At 34.3% G+C, this 24,628-nt stretch overlaps 1 long non-coding RNA gene and 1 pseudogene across 2 annotated transcripts in view; both read right to left on the bottom strand.

The window, feature by feature from the left end:
• LOC107986297 (uncharacterized) overlaps positions 1–24,628 on the bottom strand; it is a 64,842-nt gene that overhangs the window by 28,830 nt on the left and 11,384 nt on the right. The window contains exon 3 of one of the 2 annotated variants that reach the window (XR_001741779.1): positions 4,026–4,095. The exons of the other annotated variant lie outside the window; for it this stretch is intronic. This is a non-coding gene — a long non-coding RNA (uncharacterized LOC107986297). Of the gene's footprint in view, positions 1–4,025; positions 4,096–24,628 lie in introns of those variants that run through there. 2 annotated transcript variants of the gene reach the window in all.
• On the bottom strand, positions 1,479–1,583 carry RNU6-462P (RNA, U6 small nuclear 462, pseudogene; annotated as a pseudogene).

Here is a 24,628-nt window from a genome sequence, read left to right as displayed (position 1 = left end):
ACCAATGATTCTTTACACTTGACTTGACATTTGTGTTTCTGTTTATTAATTAATACATTGACATTCAACTTTCTACTTGAGTCTTCTGTGATTTTGGCAGGTGTAACCCAGAAGCCCTGAATTTAGTCAACTCTTTGACCCTTGCAGCACTGAGATTCTGCAAAGCTAAGAAGACTCTGTATTGCCATTAATTAATTAAAGGCTGGGCGCGGTGGCTGACGTCTGTAATTCCAGCACTTTGGGAGGCCGAGGCGGGCGGATCACGAGGTCATGAGATCGAGACCATCCTGGCTAACACTGTGAAACCCCGTCTCTACTAAAAATACAAAAAATTAGCCTGGCGAGGTGGCGGGCGCCTGTAGTCCCAGCTACTCAGGAGGCTGAGGCAGGAGAATGGCGTGAACTCTGGGGGGCAGAGCCTCCAGTGAGCCGAGATAGCGCCACTGCACTCCAGCCTGGGCGACAGAGCGAGACTCCATCTCAAAAAAAAAAAAAATATATATATATATATATAGATATATATATATATATATCTCGGGTATGAGAGAGGTCTCTGGTTAGCCATTCCGTCAACCTTCCCTGATAACACCTAATTTTGTCTCTGCTTTCTTTCAATTTCAACAAGTTATTGTTTAACTACATATGCCTTATGATGTTGCTGCTACTAATAATAATAACCATTCCCCTCCCCTCTCATGTAACCATGTGGTCATATGCATACCAATTCACCTTATCTGTAAAATGAGAGTGTGGAGCTAAAGAGTATCTAAATTCCCTCCAGCAGTAATAGAACTGTGAATGCTAATATTTATTAATAATTATCTTGACAGATTAGTGTATGTGAAAGACACAGGGGCTCTGGGAATTGAGAAATGGTAGAGGTCAGTTGATGGGTGAGAAATAAGCTTGAATGTGACTTTGCAAGAGAGAACATTGGAACACAGAGCCTTAAGAACGTGAGAACATTGCACTGAAAATAAACCTGTAATTCACAACTTTGTGCAGGGCTCTCTGTTCACAGCCATCTCTTCACAGCTGTCTCATAGCCATTCAGAGTAAAGAAAGAGCCAAGCCCTCATTACTGACATCACACCTTACTGACATTTAGAATGTGAAGAAATCACTTCCTGAAAGACAGGTGGGAGTTAAGCTTTCATTTTCTAAGGCAGGTGATAGCGTTGGAGACAACTCCTCAACTGACAGCTCAGTTTTACCGACAAGGCTGCATCCATGATCCTCCCTCTACCCTGTGAACAATGCTTTGACTTTGACAGCCCTGTTGCCACTCTGCACAACTTCAGAAAAAGGAAGAGGAATTGATGTGCACTGTCCCAGTCCAGTTATAGTTCTGCTACCACCTAGCATACTCCCTCCATTACCTTTGATGTCTGCAGCCTAGATTATATCACTTCATCCATGGCCCCAGTTACATGGCTGCAATGCACTCTGTTTTTTTATATAATTTTATATTTTACTTAAAAAATATGGAGCACTTCACAAATTTGCATGTCCTCCTTGTACAGGGGCCATGCTAATCTTTTCTGTATTGTTCCAATTTTCATTGCTCTCTTAATAATACCAAGCTACAATAAAACTTCTCAGAAAAAGGTAACAGATAAACGACTAACACTGTTATGAAGAGAAATTTTTTTCTGCAGAGCTATGGACACTTTCCTTTATTAAATTAATTCTTACATATGGGGAAACTTAGGGGGCAAAGGGCATTTATAAATGTAAATAGGAAACAGAAATTGTTTGAAGCACTGATTCCATCTAGGCATTACAAAGTTAGCATTAAAGGAATAATTATCTTCTACCTATACTATCTGCTTTCAGCAAAGGATGGAAGGAATCATGAGCTGCCTCTGATATGAGTAACAAAATCAATTTTAGTTCTTGGACCAGCAGGCCTTGTTTGATCTGGGATTAAAGTGGCACTCAAAGGATTTGGTATTTTCAAATTTTAACTATGGATAACTTTTAAATTTGTTCCTACAAGCTACTTTAAGATAAAACATTGGACTTTAAGTTTCTGAAATTCAATGTTAGACTCATTTGAGAATAATTATGTTACATATTTCCTTTATTTCTAAATGAAAGTAGGAGGTTTACATTTCCATGGATGTCTTCAACTTTACTGGTAAAAAAGTATTAATTATTACTGTTAGTCTGATATAGGGAAAGCTTTTCTTTTTCTTTTTTTTAACCTCTGGACTCCGAAGAAACAAGTAGTAGTACATGCAGTATACAGTATCAGGGAGGGCTTATGAAAAATGTGTTCAACATTTTGTTTTACTCTCCTGTATTTAAATAGGGAAAATCATGAAAGAAGTAAAGCAATGAAGTCTAACCTGCTTTCAAATGGAAAATAGATTGTTTTATAAATTGTAACATATTCCTGGTACGTAGTATCTGCTCATATATCCATAACATTTGTGATCAATAACTTATTGAACAACCTGGAATTTGCTCTTTATTAAATTATTCCTCATTTTATTTAGGAAGAAAAACAATGATTCCATACTCTGATAAGCTAAGTTCAGAAAACAATTGTAAACAAAAATAGAAAAATCTTAATGATTAACTTCATAAATTTTAAAATTGCTTTATTATGAATCTCCTTTGGTTGCCCAATGATGGCAAATCTCTCAACACTATTTCTCTCTGCTGCTGCCCCCAAATTCTGTATATAATTTTGCATAAAGAAAATTAGTTATAAACTGTATTTCTTGAAAACAGAGTTTAATTAATGGCTGACCTTTTGTTAAGATAGAACTTCAACCTGGGCTAATAAGGATGACAAGGCAGCAGGTGCAGGAGTATGTTGGAGAGGTTAGTTTAAAGTACAGTGAGATTATGAAGTGACAGTGGACTTATGGGCTGTGGTAAAGGATACACACACACACACACACACACACACACATACATACACTCTCTCAAGGGGATAGATTAATAGAGTTCAAATTGTGGAAAACTTTGAAAGTTGGGCTGAGGATCATTAACTTTGTTTTGTGTGGAATAGACTGCTATTGTCATATATGAGCAGAAAATGTTATATACAGGTTCCTATAATCTCCACAAATCCATTCACCATTACTGCAGCCTACATAATTAGCATTTTTTTACAGTGGTGTAAATGGCAAGGAATGGTCTTACCATTACCCTTCAGTTTAAAATTTTTCTCTTAAAATGGAAGTGTTCATGTGAAATCTGCCTGAGTGATTTTGCCTAATGGAATATGCAACTCTGATTATCTGGTGTAGCCCTTAACCTCAAGTAAGACTTCAGGAAATCCCTAAAACCCATCATGACCCAGAAAAAGCCCATGTGCATTCCAATGTTCTTGGAGAAAAAGAAAAGTCCTAATTACAATATTAAATGTATCTAGACATACCCAAATATTTCAAGACTGTGAATTTTAAAAAATAATCCCCAATATTTTGCTGCCATTAAGTTTTAAAGGAAATCTTTCTTAAAAATGTAATAAGCAAAAAAATCTTCCTCTTTCTTTGTTTGATATTTTATTTCCTACATTAAATGCTTTAATTTAATATTTATTAAAAATGTTTTTAAGAATTATGACTGTATCAGTATGCCAGATGCAATAAGTTCCTAAGTAAATAGCTTATGCAAATTTTCAAAACCTGTCACGTATCTGACTTGGTCAGGCCTTGCATTTCATTTTTCCCTACATATAGTATAAAACACAGAGTTATTTTGTTATTTTTGTGTTATTTAGAATGCAATTGACTTCAAAAAGCAAAAGACCCAAAAAAATATGATAGTGCCCGCCTTATGCCAGGTGGATACTGTTCAAGACCTCCAATGGATGCCTGAAACCATGGATAGTCCTGAACTCTATACATGCAGACATATGATGAAGTTTAATTTTAACTCAGGCACAGCAAGATATTAACAACAATAACTAGTAGTAAAATGGAACAATTGTAACAATATACTCTAAATAAGTTATGTAAAGGTGGTCGCTCTATCTTTCTCAAAATATGTTACTGTATAGCACTCACCTATTTTCAGATGGCAGTTGACCATGGGTAACTAAATCAGCAGAAAGTGAAGCTGGATAAGCAGAGACTACTGTACATAAACAAAAAAAGCATAACATAACATAAACATAACAAGAAGTCCAGAAGGTAAGACAATTAAAAAATTCAATAATGTAATGACTCCACAATGTCATCATTTGACCTCTCTGCTCTGCTGTCTGAAATTAAATAGCTAATTCCTACATGGTTGCAAGAAGGCTGCAGCAATTTAAGGCATTAGTTCACTGCACAGTAATTTCTGAAGGCCAGAAGACAGTGAATATTTTGCTTTAGTCTCTTTTTAAGAGTAAAGAAAACCTCCTAGAAGCCTCTCACCAAACTTCTCTTTACATTCCAGTGGGCATAATTGCATTCCATTCACTTTCCTCCACCTAAACCAGACACTGGAAAAAAGGATTATTGTGGAATTGTTTTGATTGTTAGACTAATGTAGATCCACATCCTAAGGAGTGATCCATATCCCAATTTTGTTCCTGTATTGGAACAAAATTGGGATTTTGTGAGCAAAGATGGGGTTTTAAGGAATAAAAGGACATTCCGTACAATACAAGAGTTGAAAAGTGACAAGATATTCATCCATACATGCACATTTTAAAATCTACTGGAGTATTTGCCACAAAGATTAAGATTCTTCTATTAAAACCTGATCAATTTTGGCTCCAGAGTTAAGGATCTCAAGTTCAGACTGTTTGAAGGAATTTAACATTATATATGTTTATAAGAAATCGGGTTTTATATTAACTCCCATATTCCCAGTTTTTATAAAATCTGGTTTTCAGACAAAGTTGTCATCTGTTTCCCCAGCAGTTCAGAGATATATAATATCTCATGTAAGCCCTAAATGTCACTGAAAACAGCACTCTCACTTTCCTAGGTCCTGGTTTGAAAAGGTTTCTTGAGTCATTTAAAGCAAAAGCACAAGCAAACAAAAACTTCAGTATGGTTCCATTTGAAACAAAAATCAGTAATAATTGCTTCAGACTTTATAGATTTTAATTGTAAATTTATCTATTTCTCAAAAGAGAAACAAAAACTTTAATATTCTTGTATCATGTGGTTATATGGCAGCAACCAAATAATTAGGCAATAAAAGCAGATTTGGGGTCATAGTGACACAAAACGCAAATCTAGTGAGTGAAATGGTAGTCTGCGGCCACTGATATCTGGTAGGCTTAGCAATCCAGCCTCTGTAGACCAAAGCAATCAGGCACCATTTTTGTAAAGTTCCATCTGCTTTTCATAAGAGTTCCTCATGCTATGCAACTGATATTTAAAGATTTTTCCTCTCCAGACTAATTTAGTATCATTTTAAATATTAGAATCTACTGAATGCTAATACATGTTTCTGATTACTTTTTAGGCATGGATCCACCTTACTGGACCCAAAGCATAATTAATTACAAAAAAATCTTTAGGTATCATCATATAGAATCTAGTAAGTAAAATGTTCACAGTAGTCAGAATTCATTAAAAATTTCTCCAGAAAAATACAGGGATACATACTTATACTTACAATGTGCTATCTATGAACAGATCATGCAGTTCCTAAATATTTAGTCACTTTATTTTTACAATAATTTTCTGAGGTGTGAACTACTATTCTTTTTCTTAAAATACTATTTTTAATCAACACATAATAATTGTACATAATTATAGGGCACAGTGTGATATTTTGATACATGTGTACAATATGTGATAATCAAATGAAGGTCATTAGAAAATCCATCACCTCAAACATTTATCACTTCTTTGTGTTGGGAGCATTCAAAATCTTGGCTTCTAGCTATTTGAAAATATACAATAAATTGTTATTAACTATAATCACTCACGGTGCTATAGAACACTAGAACTTATTCCCCCTATTTAGCTATAATCATGTATCTTTTAACCAACCTCTCCTTATATCTCCTTTAACCCTACCCTTCCTAGCCTCTAGTAACCACTTGTCTCTCTACTTATATGAGATCAACTTTTTAAACTACCACATATAAGTGAGAACATACAGTATTTATTTTTCTGTGCCAGAGTTATTTCACTTAATGTGCTCCAGGATCATTGATGTTGCTGCAAATAACTGGATTTCATTCTATTTTATGGCTAAGTAGTATTCCATTGTGTACATATACCGAATTTTATTTTTCTATTCGTCTGCTGATGGACACATAGGTTGATCCCATATCTTAGCTATTGTAAATAGTCCTGCAATAAACGTGGAAGTACAGTTGTCTCTTTAACACACTGATTTTCTTTTTTAAGATATATATCAAATATTGGGATTCGTGGATCAAATGATAGTTCTAATTTTAGGTTTTTGAGGAACCATCATACTGTTTTCTGTGATGGCTACACTAATTTGCATTCTCATCAACAGTGTATGAGTTCCCCTTTCTCTGCTTCCTTGACAGCATTTGTTATTTTTTTTTGTCTTTTTGATAATAGCCATTCTAACCAGAGTGAGATGATATCTCCTTGTTGTTTTGGTTTGCATTTCTCTGACAATTAGTGATGCTGAGTATTTTTTAATATGCTTATTGGTCATTTGTATATCTTCTTTTAAGAAATGTCTATTCAATCGTGCTATGGTTGATGTTTGTCGTCAGCAAAACTCAGGTTGGAATTTGATTTCCAATGTGACAGCATTGGAATGTGGGGCCTAATGGGAGGTTTTTGAGTTATAGGAGTGAATACCTCATGAATGGCTTGTGATATTCTTGTGGGAGTGAGTGAATTCTCTCTCGCGCTCACTCTCTCTCAATTCAATTCATTCTCTTGGGAATGTTTCTATGAGAGTTGGTTGTAATAAAGTCAAAATGCCCCTTGGGTTTTTTTTCTTCATAAGTGTCTGTTTCCCCTTTGATCTTCTCTACCGTATTATGACACAGCATGAAAGCCCTCTCTAGAAGCCAAGGACATGCCTTTGAATTTCCCAGCCAGTAGAACCATGAGCTAAATAAACCTCTTTTCTTTATAAATTACCTAGTCTCAAGTATTCTTTATAGCAACACAAAATATACTAAGATAATTTTCCCATTTTTTAATTGGATTGTTTTTATGTTTGTTTGTTTGTTGCTGCTGAGTTGTTTGAGTACTTTGTATATTCTGGGTATTAATTTATTGCCAGATGAACAGGTTACAGTATTTTCTCCCATTCTGAAGGTTATCTCTTCACTCTGTTGATCGTTCTCTTTGCTATGCAGTATGATTTTGGTTTTATAAGGTCCAATTTGTCTATTTTTGATTAAGTTGCCTGTGTTTTTGAAGTCTTTTCTATAAAATATTTGCCCAGACCAATATCCTGAAGCATTTCCTCTATGTTTTTTTGTCTAGTCATTTCATAGTTTCTGGTATTACCTTTAAGTCTGTATCCATTTTGGGTTGATTTTTGTATATGGTGAGACATGGGGGCTCTAGTTTCATTCTTCTGCATTTGGATATCCAGTTTTCCCAGCATTAGTTATTGAAGAAACGGTCCTTTCCTCAATTAATGCTCTTAGTACATTTGTCAAAAATTAGTTGGCTGTAAATATGTGATTTATTTCTGAGTTATCTATTCCATTACATTGGTCTATGTGTCTGATTTTATGCCAACACCATTCAGTTTTGGTTACTACAGCTTTGTAGTATATTTTAAGGTCAGGTAGAGTGATGTGTCCAGCTCTGCTCTTTTTCTCAGAATGGCTTTGACTATTTGAGTCTTTCGTGGTTCTATGCAGATTTTAAGATTGTTTTTTCTATTTCTGTGAAAAACGTTATTGGTATATTATTAGGGATTGCCTTGAATCTGTAGATCTCTTTGGGTAGTATGTTCATTTTAACAGTATTATTCCTTCCAATTTATGAACCATAGAATATCTTTCTATTTGCGGGGCTTGGGTTGTTCTTGCTTTTATACTCCCCTCTTAGCACTGCTTTTGCTGTATTCCATAGGTTTTGGTATGTCATGTTATATTTCCATTTGTTTCAATACATTTTTGTATTTCCTTCCTAGTTTCTTTGTCATTCAGGACTGTGTTGTCTAAATTCCATTATTTATATAATTTAAAAATTCCTTTTATATTAATTTCTAGTTTTAGAATATTCTAACTGTGAAGGATACTTGATATGGTTTGAATTTTTGAAAATTTGTTGAGATTTGTTTTGTGGCTTAACATGCAGTCAATCCTGCAGAATATTTCATGTGCTGATAAAAATAATCTATATCTGCAGCTGTTGGATCAAATGTTCTTTAAAGTCTGTTAAATCCATTTTTTCTATGGTGCAGTTTAAACTAATGTATCTTTATTCAGTTTCTGGCTAGATGATCTGTCCAAAGCTTAAAGTAGGATGTCGAAGTCCCCACCTAAAGTTGTATAGAAATCTCTCTCTCCCTTTAGATCTAATGACATTTGCTTTATTTATCTGGTGTTCCATTGCCGAGTGCATATATATTTACAATTGTCATATCCTCTTGCTTAATTGATTCCTTTATCATTATATAATGATCTTATTTGTCAGTTTTTACAGTTTTGACTTAAAGTTTGCTTTATCTGATATAAGTATAGCTACTCCTGCTTGCTTTTGGTTTCTGTTTGTGTGGAATATCTTTTCTATCCCTTCACTTTCAGACTGTTTGTTTCTTTTCAGGTGAAGTGAGTTTCTTATAGACAGCATATAGTTGGGTCCTGCTTTTTTATCTAGGTGATATTTTTTACTTAGGAATTTAATCTATTTATATTCAAGTTTTAGGTTTTGTTGTTGTTTGTTGTTGACGAGAGACAGCACGTCACCTCGTTGCCCAGGCTGGAGTGCAGTGGTACAATCAATGCTCTCTGCAGCCTTGATGATCTCATCAGCTCAAGCAATTCTCCCACCTTGGCCTCCTGAGTAGCTGGGACTATAAACAAGTACCACCACATCTGGCTAATTTTTTTTGTATTTTTTGATGAGGTCTCATTATGCTGCACAGGCTGGTCTTGAAATCCTTGGCTCAGCAATCCTGTCACCTGAGCCTCCCAAAGTGTTTGATAGGAGTAAGTCCTTACCTATCAAATAAAATCTTGAATCTGGCTCATAGCCACAATGTCTGGCCACATTCAAGTTTATTTTTGATAGGTGAGGACTTACTCCTATCATATCTGGTTGTGTTATATATCCTTTGTTTCTTTCTTCCTTTTTTATTGTTTATCGTTGTGGTTTGGAGGTTTTCGGTAGTGACAGTGCACAATTCCTTTCTCTTTTTCATTTGTGCATCTGCTCTACCATTGAATTTTATAGTTTTTGTGTGTTTTCATGGTGGTAGTTACAGTCCTTTTTCTTCAATATGTAAGACTCCCTTAAGCATTTCTTGTCAGGCAAATCTATTGGTGATAAATATCTTCAATTTTTGCTGATCTGGGAAAGATTTTATTTCTCCTTCATTTTTGAAAGATAGCTTGGCTGGGTATGGTATCCTTGCCTAGCAGGTTTTTTCCTTTTATCATTTTGAATATATCATCCCAATTATTGGCCTGTAAATTTTCTGCTGTGAAATCTGCTCTAAGTTGAAAGGGGATTCCCCTATATGTGACTGGACACTTTTCTCTTCCTATTGTGCACATTTCTCTTTGTCTTTGACTTTTGACAATTTGACTATAATGTTCCTCAGAGGGAACATTTTTAGGTTGATTCTATTTGGGGTTCCTGGATCTGGGTATCCATATCTCTCCCAAAACATAGGGAGTTTTCAGCTATTATTTTATCAAGTAGGTTTTCTACATTTTTTTCCTGCTATTCTTCTGGAACTTTCATAATAATGCAAACATTTGTTCATTTAATGGTGTCCCACAATCCCTGTAGGCTTCTTTCTTTGGGTTTGCTAAAAATTCTTTTTTCTTTCTTTTTTTTTTTTTTTTTTTTTTTGAGATGGAGTTTCACTATTGTTGCCCAGGCTGGAGTGCAATGGCATGATCTCAGCTCACTGCAACCTCTGCCTCCTGGGTTCAAGCAATTCTCCTGCCTCAGCCTCCCAAGTAGCTGGGATTAAAGGCTTTTACCACCATGTCCGGCCAATTTTGTATTTTTAGTAGAGACAGGGTTTCTCCATGTTGGTCAGGCTGGTCTCAAACTCCTGACCTCAGGTCATCCGCCTGCCTTGGCCTCCCAAAGTGCTGGGATTATAGGCATGAGCCACCGTGCCCAGCCTGCCTGAGTTATTTTAAAAGACCTCTCTTCAAATTCAGAAATTCTTTTTTCCACTTGAGGCTCTTGACTTTATTTTTCATTTCATTTATTGAATTCTTCAGCTCCATGATTTCTGGAGTTTTTTTAATGATACGTCATTCAGATCATGAATTGCTTTACTAATTTTGTTGAATTATCTATATCTATTGTATTGTATCTTACTGAGTTTCCTTAATATCATTATTTTGAATTCCTTTTTGTCATTTTGTAAATTTCCTTTGGGGGTGTTACTAACTCTGTTACTAAAGAATTGTTGTGTTCTGTTACTAAATAATTATTGTTTCTTGCTTTTTCATGTCTCTTGTGCCCCTACATTGATATCTGTGCATGTGGTGGAACACTCACCTCTTCCAGTTTTATGGAGTAGCTTTCATAGAGAAAGACTTATTCCTGTAGATGTGTCCTGTGATCTAGTCGGGTAGGGTGGATTGGCTATGTTTCTAGATGCACATAGTAATATGCTCTGTGTAGTTTCTGCAGCTCTAAACTATACTAGCTATATTTATGAGTGCCTCAGTGGCCAAGGCTTTGGGAGTTTGGGCAATGGTGACACATCTTTGCCAGGGGTGGGCTTGTCATGCTGATTCTCAGGCCAGTGATACATACATGCATATGGTGAGTCTTTGGAGACTGGCTTACAGAGTGAGGCCACTAGGCTCTTTCTGTGGCTTGGGGCATGGGCACATAGCTATTTGGCTACTTATGAGTGGGTCTGCTGGGGCATCTCTATTGACCTGTTTCTCTGGCCATGGATGTGGTCTCATAGTGGATTGGCAGACTGGGAATTCACAAAAATGTTATTCATAACAGCTAGAAACTAGAAATAATTCAAATATCTATTGTCATAAAAATGAAAAAAATTTTTGTGATATATTCTTATTGTGAAACATTGCTCATTAACAATAAATTATTGATACATGCAATAAGACAGATGAATCTCACAGGATTATACTGAATTAAAGAGGCCATATGCTATATTTATAAAGTCTTATTGTATGCACCTTTTGTATGGATAATAGGACACATTGGCCATAAGGGATTTGTATTTTTACATTCAGCAAAACTAACTTATAGTAAATGTCACCTAGCATTGTGTACTCAGTAACTAACTGTCCTTGAGAATGAGAATGATACAAGGACATTTTTAGACAAAGGATATAAATCTGTGTATTTAGGGAGAATTAATGAAAATTTGAAAGTTAAAGTGTGTGGCACATGCTAGCCATCATTATCAATTTCATTTTCATTATAATCTTATGTATAAATATCTTTTTTAGCAACTTCTATTCCCTAAAAGTTTATATTAATTTCATTCTTTACTCCTTAGCAAAATAAGTAACAAATCTCAAAGTTAAGAAAAATATGCAACTATAATAAGGATAAAACTTAAATTACCCAAACATCTTTCATCTAATATGTCTGACTATATTTGTATACACACTAACTGTGTAGAGCCCATCAAGTGAGAAAATATAAAATGTCTTTGGGAAGCCAATATTGATGCACAAATCTCATGTTGTTGTTACAAGAGAGCCTCTTCCATAGTCTTTTAGATCCTCTTAATCTGTTTTGTATGGTTTTTAAAAGATTGCCATTGATTTCCCAGCTAACAAGGGCTAAAGGGTGACTCATATGACAGTAGTAAAAAATGGGACAACAGCCTTGCAGTAGACAAAGGACACTAAATTTCAGCTTTATGGGACAACAAAGGCAGTGGCTTTGGGGTATCTGTGGGTGGTAGATGCATAGATATACATTGACATGTATAGGCATATGTGCATACACATATAGATAAATATAGTATTCAAAATCACAGTATTGTCCTGTATGTCCCCAGCACAGTACTTGGATTATAGTAGGGGCTCAAACTTTTGTTACATAAAAAGAACAAGCAACAGAGTAGCTCCTCATTTTGAATTTTCTAAAAATTACAATTTTAAGTTCACTGCCCTTTTATATTTGTTCAAAATTTATCTGTGAAAGAAACAAATTCATGATAAATTATATGCAGGGCACAAGCCATTCACTCTTTCAGATATCCTAAAATATGTCTTTATTTTAAGCCAGTTACCTAGATTGCAATTGCTTCTTTTGCCCTTTCTCAGTACCCTTCAGCAGATAAGCAAGACTTAGACTTGCCCTCGCCTTTCCATGTACAGAAGTATGTTTATTGAGTTACCCCTTGAAATAATTCAAGAAACCTATTTAGAACAATTCTATAAAGCTCTTGCTACTGCATCTATTTTAAGAATTCCATTGAGGATGCTGTTTATCATTTCCAACAATGTTCTCTTTATGAAGACCCTCAAGAGAAATCTTTTCCCGCTCTTATACCAAGAACAGATATTCCGTACTACCCCGAGTAAATAATATTGTACTGTATAACCAACAGGGTCTCCTTTTGCATGTAAGCTTCAGAAAATTTGAGGCATAAATATAGGTTATTTGTAGGCTGCTAAAATTTTCATCATAGTCTTCTTCTTGCTTTCTGTTTTTCTCCATTTTCTTGTTTGTTTTTAAATATCTTTCATTAAGTTCCAATACATGCTCTTCAGTCATATTTTATGCATCACTGTAAAGTACAGTCCTATTCTGGAAAAGGTTGGTAATACATAAATATTTCCTTATTTTCATAATATAATTTAAAGAAATAGTTGATGGGTCCCCAGTTTGTTGTAGGAGGTGTGATACATACAATATTATTTCACCCACCAAAATTCTGCAGTAATTTAGGTTCCATATATTTTATAGCAAACAAATTGCCAGAGATGTAAAATTCACCTGTGGAACAGAACTTTATCTTCGGTGGGCAGAACTGCGAAGTCCCATGCTCTTGTCATTATATCCACCAACAGCTGTCTTTGGAATTAACTCAGATTAATTTTACATCTACATAGTAGAATTGAGGCTTATTACAGGAAGACTTTACTTATGTTTTGAAGATATTTTATATTATGGGTAATTTGACATCCACTACTCTGGTATCTTAGTCACAATGATCACACCCCCTGGTGCTTGACGGGTCTCCAAATGCCAAGTAGCATGACTAAAATCATATTTAATCTACATTTTAGTGTTCAGTATGCTTTTATGCCTATTCTTCCATATTTTCTTTAGATTTCCTTGAATAAAGTCAAGCAGGTGTTACCCCACCAGGGAGCCCATATGTCAAAAGGATGATAACTATACAATATCCAATTTAATCCATACCAACTGTCCCTGCATTACTAAGCTGCAATGAAGCAACTCATAATGAACTCACTAATGTAGTGAATTTAAAACTCTGCCACTCTTTTAATCACCAAACCTGTCATGTCTTTATTCATTTATGCCTATTCTGCAAATTAGAAATAGAAAATAGGGACTATCTCTAGTTTCATAAATGATGGCATTGCTGAACATGACTCATATTTAACACAAACGGCAGGTGGCCACCATCTGCTATTACTGTAAATCAAATTATTTTGTTTTATATATTTGCTGATCTTCCCCTATTATATGTACTTTGTGTGCAGTATTAAATCTTTGGAAATAATGTTAAACATAAAAATAAACTTATCTTTAAACACTTTCTTTAAAATATGAATATATTTTAAATTGCACCTTTTTTTTCTTTTTGTTCATAGAGTAAAACGATCAAGTCTGAAGAGTTTGTGTCATATTAAACTTAGAAACATAATCCTAAGCAAATTAATGCAGGAACAGAAAACCAAATACCGCATGTTCTCACTTATAAGTGGGAGCTAAATATTGAACAGACATGGACATAAACATGGGAACAATAGACACTGGGTATTACTGGACGAGGGGGCAAGAGAGAGAGAGGGGTGCGTTGATTGAAAAATTACCTATTGGGTACCATGCCCACCATCTGGGTCAAATATATCCATGTAACAATCCTATAAATGTACCTCCTGTATCTAAAATAAAAACTGAAATTAAAAAAAAAAACTTCAAAGCAGTAAATTGTGTATTTTAGGGAATTAACTCAAATGCTGAATTAGGTGCAAATCATTAAAAGCACAGGATAAAAATGTGCTCAGATTAAAGACCGCCTCTATATTGCAGGTCAGCTTTCCTAGGAGGCATATTCTGAGTTGCTAAGATTTGTGTTTTGATGTTTGTTGAAAAGTGCCATGAGGAAACAATGAAAGTAGGATTGGGCAAAGGGAGAAGTTAAGCTGAAATTCTTTTGCAACAGCAGCCTTAGTCAATGTCACACAGAGCTCTGAAGCTGAGATGACCCTTCAGAGATTGCCCTAAATTTAAACTTTCTAAACCTTAATGCTGAAGTGTTTGTTTATTCAGGAAAAGGATATAGATATTTATAGACTTTAGATTTGGGTAGATAAATATAAATTTAAATATTTCTGTTACAAAAGTTTGGGATGATACTAGAAGAATAAAAATATTATGTATAATTTCTCAACTAGAAGAGGAGAAATAAAGATAATAAAAAAAGAAGAAAAAATATGGCAAATATAAAGCATAAAATAAAATTAGAGGGATAAGCCTCAGTGTGTTAATAATAATATTAAATGCATATAGGTGAAAATTTCCGATTAAAAGATGGAACTTCTAAAGCCAAATAAAAAGATAAAATCCAGCTTTGGCTATTTGTAGGAGACAAATAAGGGAGAGGGAAATGTATACTTTGTAATGTACAAAATATATCTTTGTTGGGAAACATATATTTCCATATATATATTTATGTATAGATAAAGGGAGAAGGATATATATATTATATATATAATCTCATATATATATAATCCCATATATATATAATCCCATATACACACACACGCACACACACACACACACACATATATATATATATATATATATATATATATATATATGCAGGAACAGCATATATTTGCCTATAGTAATATATTATTCTATATATTTACTATATTAGGAAATATTGCCCATATATACATGCATACAATAACACCAACATAATAAATACAAAACAACTTCAGTTGAGTAACCTTTACAGGGAGATGGAGGGATCTTTCATAATACCAATAAAGGGGACAATCGATCAAGAATTTGTGGAAAACATGAAGGTACATGATTCCCAATTACATAATCTGGGACTATAAAATAAGAAAACAAACAGAAAGGCTGGGCGCAGTGGCTCATGCCTGTAATCCCAGCACTTTGGGAGGCTGAGGCAGGTGGATTGCCTGAGGTCAGGAGTTCAAGACCAGCCTGGGCAACATGGTGAAACCTTGTCTCTACTAAAAATACAAAAATTAGCTGGGCACAATGGTGTGTGCCTGTAATCTCAGCTACTCAGGAGGCTGAGGAAGGAGAATTGCTTGAGCCCAGGAGGCGGAGGTTGCAGAGAGCTGAGACTGAGCCGCTGCACTCCAGCTTGTGCAACAGAGCAAGACTCAGTCTCAAAAAAGAAAAAGAAAAGAAAAGAAACGAAGTATGGGCAAATGTATAATCAATCACAGTAACAATTTGATACTTTGCTTTTTTTTTTTGAGACTGAATCTCACTCTGTCACCCAGACTGGAGTGCAGTGGCGTGATCTTGGCAAACTACAACCTTCACCTCCCAGGTTCAAACAATTCTCGTGCCTCAGCCACCCAAGTAGCTGGGATTGGAGGTGTGCACCACATGCCTGGCTAATTTGTTGCATTTTTAGTAGAAATGGAGTTTTGTCATGTTGTCCAGGCTGGTCTCAATCTCCTGGCCTCAAGTGATCTGCCCACTTCAGCCTCTCAAAGTGCTGGGATTACAGGCCTGAGCCACCAGGCCTGGCCAACACTTTGTTTCTAAAAGAAATCATTTTAGCTAATGAGAAAACAAAAAATTAATAATACTGGAAGAGGAAAATGTTTGATCTAATAGCTATATAATGAATCTTCCACTGAACAAAGATACATTTTTTTCTATAATACATGAAACTTTTACAAAATTTGACCATGTATTAGGCTACAAGAGAATAAATTCCAAAGAATTAAGGTAATGTAGAATGCATTCTCTGATTGCTATACTATAAAACTAAAAATAAATCATAATAATATACTTATTAATGTATATGTCTGGAAATTTAAATAAAAAAAGAAAAGAAACAAAAAACCACTTAAATCATAGGCTAATGGGAAAATAAATAGACTCCTGAGAATAGATTTTCCAGATCATTGGCTATGCAAATATTTAGTTTTAATGTATAATATTAATGAAATTTTCCAAAGAAGTTATGCCTTTGCTCTCCCATCACAGCATATAAGAGTCTCATTTTCTCTGTATTCTCAATAACATTTGGTACTCTATTTTATCATTTTAGCCAATCTCATGAATCCATAAGTAGTATCAGATTGCAGTTTTAAATTGCATTTCCTTGATGACTAATGCAGTTGGGCATAGTTTATATGTTTATTATCCATATAGCTCTCCAAGTCTTATTTTAAGTTCTAGTGTTTTCTCTTTGTGTCTTCCCTCTCTCCTTTCCCCTATTTTGTTCAGTTTCGCTAGACTACATTCTGCATCTTTTCAAGCAGTGCACTTTGGTTTTATTTATTATCTCTGTCATATTCATAGTATCCTTCATCTACTTTATTTAGATACACTATCCCTTTTATAGTTTTTAAGTAACAGCTATATTGACAGATAGTTCACATACCATACAATTCACCCACTTTAATTACACAATTCATAGGCTTTTAATATATTTGGAATTGTGCAACAATCACCACAATCAATCTCAGAACATTCTTGTCACCACAAAAGCAAACCCCTTAACAGTCATTCTCCATTCCCTTCAACCTCCACCAGGCCTAGGTAACTGCCATCTACTTTCTGTCTCTATAGATTTCTGATTCTAGACTTCCATATAAATAGAATCATACAATATATGGTCCTTGAATATAGCTTCTGTCACTTGTCATATATTTTTAAGGTTAATTAATGTTGTAGCATGTATCAGTACTTCATTTCTTTTTATTGCCAAATAACATTGCATTATATGGATAAGCCACATTTTAATTATCTATTTATCAGTTAATGGTCATTTGGGTTTGTTCTACTTTTTGGTTACTATGAATAATACTGACCAGAACACATGTACAGTTTTTTATATGGACACATGTTTTCATTACTTTTGAGCTTATAGATTTTTAACTAAATGCTTAATTCATTTGCTTGCCTAAGAAATACTTCCTGTAAATTTTTATTTAGCTGCAATCTACAAATTATAATACGCAATGTATTCATTGTTGTTCACTCCCGAATAGTTTCTGTTTTAATTATCAAGTTTTCCATTTGGGCACAGGAATTGGATTTCCTACAACCTTGAAATTAGATGTGGACATGTGACTTGCTTAAGCTAATGGAATGTAAACAGAAGCCATATATACTACTTCCAGTTGGTAATTTGAGAGAAAACACATGACTCTCGATGGTTCTATTTCCCTCTGACACAGAGCTCAAAGCTATTCAAGATTGTGGTTACCTTTTTTACACAGGTCTCAGTGAGAATAATGCCAAGCACAGCTCCTCAAAATGGAAATGTAGCTTGAGTGAACAGTATCTTTTTGCTGTTTCAAGTCACTGAAATTTTGTAGTTATTTGTTACTGCACAGTAAACTAGGCTACTCTGTTGGTCACAAGGAATATATGCTTTGCAAAAGAGGAAGCAAAATCATTATCCATTCTCATCAATCAAATTATATAGCTAGAAAATCTAAATGACTCTAAACAACAAAAATAGAACTTTAAAGAATATGGTAATACAAATGTACATAAAATACATTTACAAGGAGCTACAGCTTTAATTTACTCTTTCAATAGCCACTCAAAAAAAAATAAAGCTGGAGATATACTTCCACAATAGCAATAAAATACTAAATATATTAAAATTAAAATATATTTATCAAGAGAAAAACCATGCAAATTAAGGACACAAAGCATGACCTGAAAAAATTCACGAAATGATATTTTTCATAAAAATATCAAAAATTAAGAAAAATAATATATACACACAACACTGTATTAAATAAAATTCTATATTTTAATTAGTCAAAGTTAACTTTTTATGTTTATAAATTATGTGAATCTCAAGAAAATCTTGAAAAATAATGTGACCTAACATATTGTAAAATACTTTATGAAGCTATCCTAATAAATGGATTACTAGAATAAGATCAAACAAGTAACTCATTGTAGCAGGAAATATATTATTTCATAAATGTGGCAAGTCAAATTACTGAAGAAATTTGGATTATTCCATATAGGTGTTACTGAAACATGAGGGGTTAGCTTTGGGTCCTGCTGCTTGCTGCACAGAAAGCCAATCACTGAGACAACAAGTATTGCCAAGGAAGAAGGCTTTAATTAGGTGCAGCAGCCAAGAAGATGAGAGATCAATCTCAAGTCTATCTCGCTGACAGACTAAATTAGGGGTTTATATAGCAGGGAAGAAATGTAACTATGTGTGGGAAAATAGGAACTATGGAGGGGTAAAGAAGCAATCATGATGATTGAGGAATCTGGCATCTCATTGTCTGGATGTGCTGATACAAAGAGTTTCATTATTTGATGGTTTTTGAAAGATCTGAAGGTTATTTCCTGAGGAAGGAACTCAGGTAAAACAAATGTGAGTTTCAAATTTTAAGACCAGAAGGGTCCATTTCTATGTTTATCCAAAAATATGTCTATAGGACTATTGGACTGGTTTCTTATGTTATTGAGACAGCTGGATAATTGATTTGAAGATTGGAAGAAGTTAAACCTCCACCTGATGCTGTTTTAAAAAAAAAATCCTTACACAATATAAAAGGTTAAATTCCAGATAAATTAAAGGTCCAAATTTTAAAAATAAAACTAAAAATATATTTGAATGAAATATAGGAGAATAGTTATAAAAGTTCTGAGAAGTGACCTCAAATAAAACAGAAAATCAAAATGCTATCAAGAGGGAAAAATAGAGAGCTTGACTATGTCAGTCAGAAGAAAGTATCTATAAACAACATAAAGAATGTTTAAGGCAACAGAAAGTCTATGAGAATCTTATTTTGCAAAAGATGGAAAAGGGTTGGTATTTGTACTTTACCAAGTGCTTCCACAAATTAATTTTTTTAATGAAAGGAGAATGCTCTGATAAAGAAACTAGAAATGCAAGAAAGAGAAGGAGTTGGAACAAGAGCATGAGCAGAAAAAATGAAAATATGGTTGGCCTGAGTTGTAAACAGGAAAATGTTAATAAAAATAAAGATGAGACTTCTTTTTCCACTTATCAGATTGGCAGGGGATAAAAAGTTTCACAACATCAAGTGCTTTCAGGGTGTTAGGCCCTCTAATATACTATTAGTAAGGATGCAAATTAATACAATATTTTGAAATATTGTAATTAAATGTTAACATTTAAAATTTACCTATTATTTCACTAAGCAGTTTTCCTTTTATAAGTCTATTCTCATTAGAGAGATATATGTTTAAGGGTGTTTACACAGTATAATAGTATATTCTGTTCATCTGTGAGAGAAAAAATAAATTATGCTGCAACTGCAATATTAGAATGCTGTGCAGTCATTAAAAGGAACTGTGGGGATCTGTTGGTGCTAAGTTTGAAAGATTATAAAATAATATCATATGAAACCACAAATAGCACAGTCATAAGTTTTCATTATAAATATGTGTATATGTTAGAGTATGTATAACTCATAGACATACTGTTATGCAAACTTGGGGAAACTAAAAAGCTACATTCCAAACTCTTGCAGTAATTACTCTGGTTGGGTAGCATTTAGCCTTTTGCCTACTTTTTTAAAAAAAGACCTCTTTATTGAGTTATGATTGACATATTAAAACCTGTATATAATTAATGTATACAACTTGACGAGTTTGGAGAGAACTACACACCTGTGGAGCCATCATAATAATCTGTGCCATAAAGCTAGCTATCACCTCCAAAAGTTTCCTCCTGCTCTCTTTTATACTATTATTATTTCTATGTTGGCCTTTTGCTTATTATTGTATTAAAATGTTGTGTAATTATGGGTGGTTTCCCCCTTATGTTTGTGGAGAGATGTTATTCATTTTATAATGTAAATGATGTTTGGATAGAAATGTAATATGCTAGTGGAAAAAAGGAAGCAATGGACAGTTTAGAATCACAGTCATGCACTACGTAACAGCATTTTGGTCAACAACATACTGCATAAACAATGGTGGCCCCATAAGATTATAATGAGGTTGGAAAATTCCTATTGCCTAATGATATTGTAGGCCATCCTAATGTTGTAGCACAAGGCATTACACACGTTACTGGTGATGCTTATGTAAACAAACCTACTGTATAAAAGTATAGCACATATATTTATGTATAATACAAAATTATTGATAATGATAATAAATGGCTATGTTACCAGTTTATGTATCTAATATACTATACTTTTATGATTATTTTAGAGCATAATCCTTCTACTTATATATCTTTAAAAGCTAACTATAAAACAACCTCAGGCAGGTCCTTCAGGAGGCATCCAGAAGAAGGCATTGTTACCACAGGAGATGACAGCTCCATGCAAGTTACTGCCCCTGAAGACCTTCCAGTGAGACAAGATGTGGAGGTGGAAGACAGTGATACTGATGATCCTGACACTGTGTAGGCCTAGGCTAATATGTGTTGGTGTCTTTGTTTTTAACCAAAAAAAAAGTGTAAAAAGAAAAAAAAATATTGAAATAGAAAAAAAGCTTGTAGAATAAGGATATAAATAAATAAAGTATTTTCATTTGTGTTTTAAGTTAAATGCTATTACAAAAGAGTCAAAAAGTTAAAAAAAATTAAATTAATAAAATACAAAATTTATAGTAAGCTCAGTAAGCTAAGGTTAATTTATTATTGAAGAAAAATTGTTATAAATTTAATGTAGTCTAAGTATCTAGTAATTATAAAGTCTACAGTAGAGTACAGTAAAGTCCTAGGCCTTCGCATTCAGTCACCACTCACTCACTGACACCCAGAGCAACTTCCAGTCCTGCAAGCTCCATTCAAGGTAAGTGCCCTATGCATGTGTATCACTTTTTTTTTTTTTTTTAGCATTTATACTGTATTTTACTGTATCTTTTCTATGTTTAGATATGGTTAGATACATAAATACCATTGTGTTACAATTGTCTACAATATTCAGTACAGAAATTTGCTGTATAGGTTTGTGGCCTAGGAGCAATAAGCTATACCATATAGCCTTGGTTAGTAGTAGGCTATTCCGTCTACGTTTGTGGAAGTATACTCTATGATGTTCTCAAGATATCATATAAATCACCTAAGGTTGCATTTCTCAGAACATATCCTTACCACTAAGTGATGCATGACAGTAGCAGTAACAATCGTAAAAACTGTTTGGATGATAGATCGAAAATTTACTATCAAATTCTCCAGGCCAGATGTCTTTTAGAACTCAGATTTTTTCAATTTTATAAAGGTAGCAGAGTGTGCTTACCTCAGAGGCTTAAGTGAAGTTTAAGTAGTCAAACATATCTGTATTTCTGCAGGAATAGTGTCTGACTATTCACGCTCAGTGAGATAAATAAGGATGAAAAATAGACACATCAGTTTAGTTTTGCTCCAAAAGCATTTTTTGGAAATTTATTTTGGTTTTCAGTTTTTCAGTTTTAGAATTTTGAAAAAGGAAGGAAATTTTTTCTAAATAAAAGGCAGTGTAATGACCATATTACATAAAAGAAAGAAAGAAAGACAAGACATAGTATAAGTGGAAATAACACAAAAAGGGAAGGGCAAGGAAAAAAAGGGAGGAGAGAAGAGGAAAGAGGAAAAGGAGTGGGAAAGATAAACAGTGAAGAAAAAGAAAGTGAACAGGGAGGAGAGGAAGAGGAGTTTAATACAAAGGTGAGCCCTTGTGTATGATGCTGTTATTCTTTGAAAGTAAATGGTGATCCTCAATTGAGAAGTAGCTCTCATAAATGTGGAATAATCTGGTAGAATCCTGCAAAATGCACTAGAAACACCAGAAATTAAAGGTCGGTATAACCACTAGGATGTCTGTAGTGATGTATATGTGGAATCACCAGAAACTAATCTAAGGTGGTAGCACTGAAAGTTGATAGAAAATTGTGAATTTACAGAAATTCATTATATGCTTCAAGATACTATTGTATTAAAGTAATATTGCCATGTTCCATAACAATTTTGATTTATGATGAAGCTAATAATATTTTCTGATCTTTCCATGGCTCTATTTCAATATGGCAGTTTCTCATCTTTAATTAGCCTCTGAGCTGAAGACAGCTCAGCAGAAACTTGCCCATGAGGCCTGTGGGCAACCCACACACACCTACGCATCCCAGCGGATGCCACTTACAGATGGCAAATTTCCTCCACTAATGTGATTATGTCAATCATCAGTGAATTAAGCCCAGAGATTTTTTTTCCCACAAAAACTTTTTCCTGAAGTAACTTGCTCAGGAACACACAGTAAATACAAGATCTGTTCATTGAAACTTCAGTTCTTGGCTTAGTTGACCCCTTTCACCAAGGACAACCCTTTTGTCCTAAATGGGAATATGAATGATGGGAAAAGTTCTCTAACATACCTCACTGAGTTCTAAGTGTTCTTTTTTTAAAATTGCCTTTCTCAGTATTTTATTTTGTCTTGGCATGTAATCTGACCTTTTTGACAAGATCTCTTCTGGGTCAACAATATCAAAGCAAATCAATACTATGCAGCTATCATTGTCTTGGAAATCACTGGCCAAAGATATGGAAGATTGCTGCATGTAAAGATAGGCACCTAGTATTCATAAGAGCAACTGAGCATAAAATATGAGCCACACACATAAAAGAAAGAAAATAAACAGAGTTGACACTTTAGTACAATGGCTCCAAACTCAGTTTTTGGCTCAATATTGGTTAGAGAGGGGACTTGGTATTTAAGAATGTTTTGGAAAAAGATTAGAGGCTGATTAAACAATTCAAATGGAAATGGCAATGTAGACAACACTTCATGTATTACTCATTCTTTTATAGTCTATGTATTTTCAGATTCCTAGAACATTCTGTGATTTTTTTTTCCTGCAGTGCAGAAAATCTGAAAAACCTTTACAGAATCATGGTTACAGATAAAGTTTGCATTCAACCCTACAAATATTATTTTGTTAGTTTAAGCCAATTTTTAAGAACCATATATTATATTATTTTTCTTTTGTTTCCAGTTTTGAGTAAACAAATGTATTGCATGCATAAGAGATGACTAGACAGAAGCCATTATGCTTTAGTTGTGCCTTGAGACAATTCCACCATTCAGACTCCTATCTATTTAATTCCACAGGGGGTCTTAAAAACCTATTAACCTATTCCTGCTTGACATGCTCTCTTTCAAAATCTTATAAAGAGTGAAGTAAAGAAACAAAATAACCACTTTGCTGAGAATTTAAATTGTGCTGTAATTTAGACTGAAGGCTCAAGGCCTTCTTTTCTCTTCAAGATTTTCCTATGCCTTTGTCAGGGAATGGCACCACAGTGTGCCATATTCACAGTGATGGTAACAAAGGCATCTTGAAGGTCTTTCTAAAGAGATAATTAGTATGAACTCTAGTTGCGAGTTACAAAACCAACTTGAGATTGCTTTAGTTTAAAAGAAAGTGGAAATGTGTGACAAAATAGAAGGATCTCACGAAAACTTATTACAGAAATGGCTAAAAATGTGAATGGGAAATCCATTAGACACTTTTTTTGTCTCTAGGTTTATCTAAACATTTTTGTCTTTTCCTTTCTGCAAATCTTTTTCTGGCTTCTCATTCCATGTGACAGAGGATTATCAAGTCACAATTCCCAAGTTTATGGCACCTCTCAGAGCAATACTGAGTTTGTTAGTCTGAATTCAAAATCTATTGGCCAGAATTTAACCAGCCTGGTTTGAGTCAGGTATCTGCCCATCATTCAATCAACTACGGTCAGAGAGGGATTAATATCAGAAACTCACCACTAACGATGGAAAGTGAGGGAGAAGAGGCCCACTTAGAACATCTTTCAATATGTACTCTAGGATGTGTCGACTAAAGCATCTTCCTAGAACTTCCATAGGCAAACACACCCTCCTTCCTGTACATGTAATTTGGATGTCTTTACCTAATGTTGTAGGCAGACTTCTAAGATAGATCTCAATGATCCCCATCTCCTGCTGTTCATGACCTTGTATAATCTGTCTCTTTGAGTGTAAGCTGAATTTAGTAATTGTTTCTAACCCATAGACTACAACAAAGGTGATGGAATGATGTTTCCATAATTAGATTACAAAAGATTATGACTTTCATCTTGCCAAGAGATTCTCTCTACTATTTTCTTGGTTTGCATGTTTCGATATAGCAAGTTGCCATATTATTAGCGAGGC

Source organism: Homo sapiens, chromosome 4, assembly GCF_000001405.40.
Source record: "Homo sapiens chromosome 4, GRCh38.p14 Primary Assembly".
In the NCBI taxonomy this organism is placed as follows: Eukaryota; Metazoa; Chordata; class Mammalia; order Primates; family Hominidae; genus Homo; species Homo sapiens.
The sequence above is the reverse complement of the archived record's forward strand: the minus strand, read 5'-3'. Positions and strand labels throughout refer to the sequence as shown.